The following is a 9496-nucleotide window of genomic DNA, read 5'->3' as shown; positions in this document are numbered from 1 at the left end:
CCCAGGAGGTAGAGGCTGCCGTGTGAGCTGTGATCGCGCCACTGCACTCCAGTCTGGGAGATGAAGCGAGACCCTGCCTCAATAAACCAGAAACCAAAAAACAACAAAAAAGGCGAGTTGGGGAGTAATGACCTTCTCAGGAGGGCCAGAGAGAACAAGAGACCCTTTCGGGGAAGATGGGGTCCGCGAAGAGAGAGTGACCTCCCATTTGGGACAGAGTTCAAGTGAGGGGTAACGAGCGACCTCCCTTAGGGGTACTGATAGGTGCCAGGGATTTCCGTAGAGGACCCCGGGGCTGTGCGGAGTAGCCATCGCTCACGAGTGCGGGCTCCTAAACTTGGGCAGCTGTGGTTGGGGGAGCTGGGGCCGCGCTGTCCTTAGCCTCTTGGGGAACAGCCTAAATATCAGGTGTCCTGTGAGCCCTGGGTGAGAGCCACACGCCCTGTAAAATACCCCTCCTGGATTTGAAGCCTGGTCGCATTCTCACTCCAAATACTTCCTTAGTTGCAGCCCAGGGGAGATAATTCTGTGGTCATCCTTTCCACTGAGAAAATGCTATCACAACTTTAGGAGAGAAAATAGTGAAAGGGGGGGAAACAGCCACCGTTCTACCCCATGAATACAATTTTCCGCATGTGTATTTGTTCATTCCCTTCAGATACGTTTTTTCTTTTTCTTTTTCTTTTTTTTTTTGAGACGGAGTTTCACTCTTGTCCAGTCTGGAGTGCAGTGGCGCGATCTCGGCTCACTGTAACCTCCGCCTCCCAGGTTCAAGCAATTCTCCTGCCTCAGCCTCTTGAGTAGCTGGGATTACAAGTGCCCGCCACCACGCCCAGCTAATTTTTGTATTTTTATTAGAGACAGGTTTTCACCATGTTGGCCAGGCTGATCTCCAGCTCCTGACCTCCCATGATCCACCCGCCTCGGGCTCCCAAAGTGTTGGGATTACAGGCGTGAGCCACTGCGCCTGGCCCAGATGTGTTTTCACAGGTGAATGTTATATTTAGTTTCCCAGAAAATATTCATAAGCACATCCTTTATGCCAAGTACTGTCCAGTGAACAGGACAAGCAAAATATCCTGCCTTCATGCAGCATAAATTCCAACAGGTAATTGGTATAAAGTTTTGGTTTGTAATCATAGTCAATGGCTGTGCTTTTCATTTTCTGATTCGCACTACGTGGTTTCTGTGTTACTGCAGACTCATCATAATGACAATTTTTAATCCATGGACCATTTCTTCCGGAAAATATACCACGATGTCTCTAACCGCTCTCATCTGCTTGCTTCTTAGTTTGTGGATCCTATGCATAATCTTTGATACAACATTTTTAGCTCATTTCCTGGATATGAGATTCCTAAGTAAGCCACACCAACTTGTTTTTCCAAATATAGAAAGGTGAATAATAAAATTTGCAGAAAACAGGCAGCATCTGCCTCTAAGAGATGGAATTCTTAAGTTAGAGGGAGGAACAGAGATGCCCATGCCAGCCTTGGTCCAAAATGGTCTCAGGAAAAGGTGGTGGTATTTTATTCATTCATTTGACAGAAATTTACTGAGTGCCTGTTGTGTGCTTGGCACTTTTCTTGATGCTAGGGCTATGGAGTGGACAGGTGAGGTATCTGCCCAAATGGAGTTTGGTGCAATTGGGAAGCCTCAAATTATCTGTAGAAGAAGAAAACTCCATTGCTAAATCCTCATTGGAAGGGGACTTAAAAATCATTTCCTTAAGAATCAAAACATGGCTGGGCACGGTGGCTCACACCTATAACTGCAGCACTTTGGGAGGCCGAGGCAGGCGGATGATCATGTGAGGTCAGGAGCTGGAGACCAGCCTGGCCAACATGGTGAAACCTCATCTCTACTGAAAATATAAAAAACTTAGCTGGGCCTTATGGCAGGTGCCTGTAATCCCAGCTACTCGGGAGGCTGAGGCAGGAAGAATTGCTTGAACCTGGGAGGCGGAGGTTGCAGTGAGCTGAAATTGTGCCACTGCACTCCAGCCTGGGTGACAGACTCCATCTCAAAACAAACAAACAAACCCCAAAAAACACCAGGCACGTGGCTTACACCTTTAATCCCAGCACTTTGGCAGGCCAAGGTGGGTGGATCACCTGACATTGGGAGTTCGAGACCAGCCTGACCAACAATGGAGAAACCCCGTCTCTACTAAAAATACAAAAATTAGCTGGGCGTGGTGGCGCATGCCTGTAATCTCAGCTACTCAGGAGGCTGAGGCAGGAGAATTGCTTGAACCGGGGAGGTGGAGGTTGCCATGAGCTGATCACGCCATTGCACTCCAGCCTGGGCGACAAGAGTGAAACTCCATCTCAGAAAAAATAAAAATAAAAAATAATGGCAGCAATCAAAACACATTTCCAGCCTTCATTCATACTTACCCTATAGTAATGAGTTAGTCCCAACCTCACAAATCTTGAATTTAGATGGTTTGCTTGTGTTTTGGAATGGGGTCAGTTAAGAAAAATGTAGAAATGCAAGTTTTTATAAATTACTAGTTGGTAACATCATTAGGCCTGACCAAAGAAGCTGATCCTAAAAAATGATTTGGAAAAGTTATTTTGTTTACACTGTTGCTCTTGGATTATCTCTTTTTAAAAAATAACTTTATTGACCAGACATGGTGGCCCATTCCTGTAATCCCAGCACTTTGAGAGACTAAGTTGGGAGGATTGCTAGAGCCCAGGAGTTTGAGACCAGCCTGGACAACATAGGGAGACCCCCATCTCTATAAATACTTTAAAAATTAGCCAGCCATGCTGGTGCATGCCTGTGGTCCCAGCTACTTGGGAGGCTGAGGCAGGAGGATCACTTGAGTTTAGGAGGTCAAGGTTGTAGTGAGCTGCAATTGTGCCACTGCACTCCAGCCTGGGTGACAGAGTGAGACCCTGTCTCAAAAATAAATAAGAAGGCGGGATGCGGTGGCTCACACCTGTAATCCCAGCACTTTGGGGGGCCGAGGTGGGTGGCTCACTTGAGCTCAGGAGTTCCAGACCAGCCTGGGCAACATGGTGAAACCCCATCTCTACAAAAAGTACAAAAATTAGCTGGGCATGGTAGCACGCACCTGTAGTTGTAGTCCCAGCTACATAAAATTTTTAAAAAAATAAATTGGCCAGGTGTGGCTCACACCTGTAATCCCAGCACTTTGAGAGGTTGAGGTAGGTGGATCACTTGAGGTCGGGAGTTTGAGACCAGCCTGACCAACATGGTGAAGCCCCATCTCTACTAAAAATACAAAAGTTAGCCGGGTGTGGTAGTGCATGCCTGTAATCCCAGCTACTTGGGAGGTTGAGGTAGGAGAATTGCTTGAGCCCAGCAGGCGGAGGCTGCAGTGAGCTGATATTGTGCCACTGCCCTCCAGCCTGGGTGACACAGTGAGACTCTGTCTTAAAAAAAATAATATAATAAAAATAATAAGGAAAGAGAGAAAATTAAAAATGGATCAAAGACATACATATAAGAGCTAAAATTATAAATCTCTCTGATGAAAACATAGGGGCAAATCTTTGTGACCTCGGATTAGACAGTGGTTTTTTAGATTTAGATTTTGTTGCCTAAAGCAAGGCAACAAAAGAAAAAAATAGATAAATTGGACTACTTTGTCAAAACTGAAAAGTTCGTGCTTCAAAGTTACCATCAAGAAAGGGAAAAACCCACAGAATGATAAAATATTCACATATCCTATATCTGTTAAGGATCTAGTATTTCAGATATCGTAAGAACTCTTAAAACTCACCAATAACATGACAACCCTATTTAAAAATGGGCAAACATATCTGAATAGACATTTCTCCAAAGAAGATATACACATGAGATCAATAAACACAAGAAGATGCTCGATATCATTATCGTTAGGGAAATACAAATCAAAGCCACAGTGAGATACCATTTCCTCCCCACTAGCATGGTTATAATTAAAAAGATGGACAATCAAAAAGCTGGCAAGGATGTGGAGAAACTGGAACCCTCACACATTACTCATGGGAATGTAAAATGGTCCAGCTGCTTTTTACTCGTGGGAATGTAAAATGGGCCAGCTGCTTTGGAAAACAGCAGTTCCTCAAAATGTTAAACATAGAAATTACCGTAGGACCAAGATATTCCTTTTCTAGGATTTCCCCAGAGAATTAAAAAGATATGTTCTGGGCGGGGCTCCGTGGTTCACGCCTGTCATCCCAGCACTTTGGGAGGCCGAGGCAGGTGGATCACTTGAGGCCAGGAGTTCGAAACCAGGCTGGGCAACATGGAGAAACCCCATCTCTACTCAAAATACAAAAATTAGCCAGGCATGGTGGTGCATGCCTGTAATCCCTGTAATCAGCTACTCAGGAGGCTGAGGCAAGAGAATCACTTGAACCTGGGAGGTTGCAGTGAGCCGAGATCGCACCATTGCACTCCAGCCTGGGTGACAGAGCGAGACTCCGTATCAAGAAAAAAAAAAAAGAAAAGAAAAGCTATGTTTGGCATCTGACCTTGTCTCTTTAACCTTCCCATGCCCACTTGGGCCTCTTCCAAGCACAGCTTCCTTTCCCATCCTAAGGCATTTCAAATAAACTTCCACCCCTCCTCTGAAAAAGAAAAATGTTCATGCAAAAACTTGTACATGAGTATTCATAGCAGCATTCATAATGGCCAAAAAGTGGAAACAATCTAAATGTCCATCAACTAATGAACACATAAACACAATGTGGTCCATCCATACAATGGAACATGATTCAGCCACAGGAAGGAAGCACTGACACGCGCCACACCACGGATGACCCTTGAAAACACCACGCTGAGTGAGAGGAGCCAGATGCCACAGGGCACTTATCGTATGATTCTGTGTATAGGAAATGTCTGGAATAGGCAAATCCATAGAAACTGAAAGTAGAGGCCGGGTGTGGTGGCTCACGCCTGTAATCCCAGCACTTTGGGAGGCTGAGGCGTGCATATCACCTGAGGTCAGGAGTTTGAGACCAGCCTGACCAACATAGAGAAACCCCATCTCTACTAAAAATACAAAATTAGCTGGGCATGGTGGTGCACGCCTGTAATCCCAGCTACTCAGGAGGCTGAGGCAGGAAAATCGCTTGAACCTGGGAGGCGGAGGTTGCGGTGAGCTGAGATCGCGCCATTGGACTCCAGCCTGGGCGACAAGGGCAAAACTCCGTCTCAAAACAAAACAAAACAAAACAAAACTGATAGTAGATTAGTGGTTGCCAGGGGCTGGGGGAAAGAAAGGATGGAAAGTGGCTGCTGGTGAGTACAAGGTTTCCATTTAGGGTGATGAAAATGTGCTGGAAAAGAAAGTGGTGATAGTTGCGGAACCTGTGAATATACTAAAAGCCGCTGAATTGTACATTTAAAAAGAGTAAATTTTATGGTATGTGAGTTATGTCTCAGTAATAATTCCAGTAAACAGGGAGTAAACAACCAAGGTCTCAAGAAAAGCAAAGTATATACCACGAATCCATGGGGCCAGACGTCATATTCCTTCTTCACAGGGGAGCATCTCAGGCCCTCACACCAAGCTTACCTTTTTTTTTTCCTTTTTGAGACAGGGTCTCCCTGTGTCACCTGGACTGGAATGCAGTGGCATGATCTCGGCTCAGTGCAACCTCCGCCTCCTGGGTTCGAGCAATCCTCCCACCTCAGCCTCCCAAGTAGCTAAGACTACATGCACACGCCACCATGCCCAGCTAATTTTTTGTATTTTTGGTAGAGATGGGGTTTCACCAGGTTGCCCAGGCTGGTCTTGAACTCCTGAGTTCAAGCGATCCATCTGCCTCGGCCTCCCAAAGCGTGGGGTTACAGTCGTGAGCCACCGCGCCCGGCCTCTTTTTAGTTCAGATGCGATTGGAGCAGTTTCGATTTTCTGGTTCCTTTGTTGCTGGTGAAGCCAGTTCATCAGTACCTGCTTTCTCTAGGCTGTCATTTCTCGCAGAGGTGGTGCAGCAGCTGTTTTTATACTATGTGACCTTATCTTCCTGGCCACAGCTGACTGGACCACAGGTGGGAAACTGACCCAGCCGGGCCAGTCTCTCCTCTGGCTTTGGCATTGGGATAGTGACAACTCTTTCTTCTCTGCAGGTGACTGGAACTGATTTGACATAACCATCGTATGCATGGAGAAGCTGAGAACAGTAATCTGCAGAAGCAAAAGTATGAAACAGCCGGGCAAAGATGCACAGAGGTGAGAGAGACGAAGGGAACGGCCTCTGGTTTCTGTTGAGCTTCCACTTCTTGGTTCTGCCTCCTCCCCCCGTTCACCTTTACCTTTGAGATACCCCCATAATCTCATAATAAGTGTTCATTTTTTACTTAACCTAGTAGCCTTCTGAAACTTGGAATTGAAAAGACTATGTCTATAGCCCTAGGATCTAACAGATAAAAAATGTATTATGTCACCAGTAACGTAGGTGGTAAAACAAACATTTGTTTGAATGCAGCAAATTAGAAGGAGGTGGGACGCGTTGCCCCAGGCCACCAATACTAAGAGCAGCGATACACAAATAGCCCATAAAAAAGAAATGTTTCTATAAAAAGCAGAGCCAAGAACTCCGAAAAGCTCATCAGTCTGGGGCCATTTAGTTTAGAGACCTCAGTGTGCCTTAGGGTGTCATTTGGTTATGGTTATGTAAGACTGACATTTGTTACAATGGCCTTGAGCCGCAAAAGGCCAGTCAGAAGAGACAGTGTCATTTGTTTAGGAGAATCTACAATGAAAAAATGTTTAAATTAAATGTTTAGGCATTTAAAGATGTAAGACTCGCTTATCTGGCACATAGACATTGTGAAATACGTCATTGTATAACAGAATGACAGATACGTGTGGCACACAGTATAATTATATATACTTCCAGAAACAGAACGTCTAAATAAAGAACAAGTTGATAGCAGAAGTGAGGAATAAATTATTTTATAATTTTGCTGTTGCTTTCCCTGGGTAGTGCTTGAGACTGAATCTATTGTGGAACAACAACAACAAAAAAAACAAAAAGCAAAAAAACAGAACAGAAAAACCCTGACTCTTATCTAACAGGCCATATGTTGATCACAGATAATCCTCTCAACCCCATCAGACCCAACGTCCTTTTCGTTTTTTTGACACAGGGTCTCTCTCTGTTGCCCAGGCTGGTGTGCAGTGGCGGGATGTCAGCTCACTGCAACCTCCGCCTCCCAGGTTCAAGCAATTCTCCTGCCTCAGCCTCCCAAGTAGTAGCTGGGATTACAGGCACCCACCACCATGCCCTGCTAATTTTTGTATTTTTAGTAAAGACAGGGTTTCACCCTGTTGATCAGGCTGGTCTCAAACTCCTGACCTCAGATGATCCACCCACCTTGGCCTCCCAAATTGCTGGGATTACAGGCGTGAGCCACCATGCCGGCCACTTGTATTATGGTTTTAAAGTGTAAGACTTCTTTATATATTCTAGATACAAATTCCATATCAGATATATGATCTATAGATGTTTTCTCCCATTCAGTGGGTGGGAGGAATTACAGGTTGTTGAAATGGAGGAGATGGGGAAGGATGATATTCCTGCAGATGAGCTGGACATATTCTAATACCTGGATCTTGACATCTTAGCACATTTGACATTCGGTCTTTAGGCTGTAAAAGACCTCAGAGATCACACCCTTTGATAGGCAGCGTAGAATAAAAGGTGGATGGGGAATAACCTGTGACTGCAAGAGGCAGTGTGGGGGAATTGTCTGATACTGCTGAAAACAAGAGGCAGCCCCAAATTCATCAATCCTGTATGTGATTTTCACAACAAATTTTTGTTTGTTTCTTTTTAAATTTCACAATGAAATTTCATGTCACTGTGCCACGAAGAAAAAATTGTAATATATAGAATGGAAATAATGTAAAATCTATATATTTTATTTCGTTTTACTTGGTTGAAAATGTGTAACATTTATGATTTTTTTTTTAGTTTTTAACTTTTTTTATTTTTATTTTTATTTTTTGAGACGGAATTTCGCTCTTGTTGCCCAGGCTGGAGTGCAATGGTGCGATCTTGGCTCACCGCAACCTCTGCCTCCCAGGTTCAGGCAATCCTCCTGCCTCAGCCTCCCAAGTAGCTGGGATTACAGGCATGCACCACCACGCTTGGCTAATTTTGTATTTTTAGTAGAGATGGGGTTTCTCCATGTTGGTCAGGCTGGTCTCGAACTCCCGACCTCAGGTGATCTGCCCACCTGGGCCTCCCAAAGTGCTAGGATTACAGGCGTGAGCCACTGTGCCCCGCCCGTTTTTTAAAATTCTTAAAAAAAAAAAAAAAAAGAAAGAAATGGGGTCTCACTATGTTGCCCAGGCTGATGTCAAACTCCTGGCCTGAAGCAATTCTCCCAGCTCTGCTTCCCAAAGTGCTGGGATTACAGACATAACCCAGTGAGTCCAGCAAGGCAAAACTATTGAAAAGCTTTTTTATTTTTTATTTATTTATTTTTTTAGAGACAGAGTGTTGCTCTGTCCCCCAGGCTGGAGTGCAATGGCGTGATCTTGGCTCACTGCAACCTCCATCTCCTGGGTTCAAGCAATTCTCCTGCCTCAGCCTCCCAAGTAGCTGGGATTATAGGCGCCCACCACCACACCTGGCTAATTTTTTGTATTTTTAGTAGAGACGGGGTTTCCCCATGTTGGCCAGGCTGGTCTCGAACTCCTGACCTCAGGTGAACCACCCGCCTTGGCCTCCCAAAGTGCTGGGTTTATAGGTGTGAGCCACTGCGCCCGGCTGAATGAGGCTCCATCTCAAGATAAAATAAAATAAAATAATGATAGTATGCTGTGGAAAGATATTTGAGATAATTAAATGGAAAAATATAACAGGGCAATATGTGTACTGGGTCTTCAAATTTTTGTGTTTATAGAAAAAAGTGTGGCAGATCATAAATTAAAATCTTAACTGGTTTTTCTGGGAAGGGTGAAACTATAGATGATTTTTGCTCTGCATACTTATCTGCATTTTTAAAAATGTCTACTCTGAAGTTGATTACTTTTCTTAAGAGAAGGCCGGGCACGGTGGCTCACACCTGTAATCCCAGCACTTTGGGAGGCCAAGGTGGGCCGATCACGAGGTCAAGAGATCGAGACCAGCCTGGCCAACATGGTGAAACCCCGCCTCTACTAAAAATACAAAAATTAGCTGGGTGTGGTGGCGGGTGCCTCTAGTACCAGCTACTTTGGAGGCTGAGGCAGGAGACTCGCTTGAACCCGGGAGGCGGAGGTTGCAGTGAGCCGAGATTGTGCCGCTGCACTCCAGCCTGGGTGATAGAGCGAAACTCCATTTCAGAAAAAAAGAAAAGAAAAGAAAAGAAAAACAATTTTAAAGCTACTCCTAAAAATGTTTATGAAGTATATTTAATTATATGGAGGAAATGCTTATGCTGTAATGTTAAGTGAGGAAAAAGGCAAGGCAAGATACAAAACAGCGTGTGTTAGAATCTAAATTATACACATCAAAAGAAGAGAAGCATCTTGCTTCAT

The 9496-nt window shown here is 44.7% G+C and overlaps 1 long non-coding RNA gene across 4 annotated transcripts in view; it reads left to right on the top strand.

The window, feature by feature from the left end:
* The window catches only part of LOC105370032 (uncharacterized), an 84641-nt gene that overhangs the window by 379 nt on the left and 74766 nt on the right, over positions 1 to 9496 (top strand). For 2 of the 4 annotated variants that reach the window (XR_001749352.3, XR_945459.4), the window contains exon 2: positions 6094 to 6196. This is a non-coding gene — a long non-coding RNA (uncharacterized LOC105370032). Of the gene's footprint in view, positions 1 to 913; positions 1109 to 5850; positions 6016 to 6093; positions 6197 to 9496 lie in introns of those variants that run through there. The other 2 variants (XR_945460.4, XR_001749353.3) reach the window with 2 other exon arrangements.

The sequence above is a fragment of the Homo sapiens genome, chromosome 12 (genome assembly GCF_000001405.40).
Source record: "Homo sapiens chromosome 12, GRCh38.p14 Primary Assembly".
Lineage (NCBI taxonomy): Eukaryota > Metazoa > Chordata > Mammalia > Primates > Hominidae > Homo > Homo sapiens.
The sequence above is the reverse complement of the archived record's forward strand: the minus strand, read 5'-3'. Positions and strand labels throughout refer to the sequence as shown.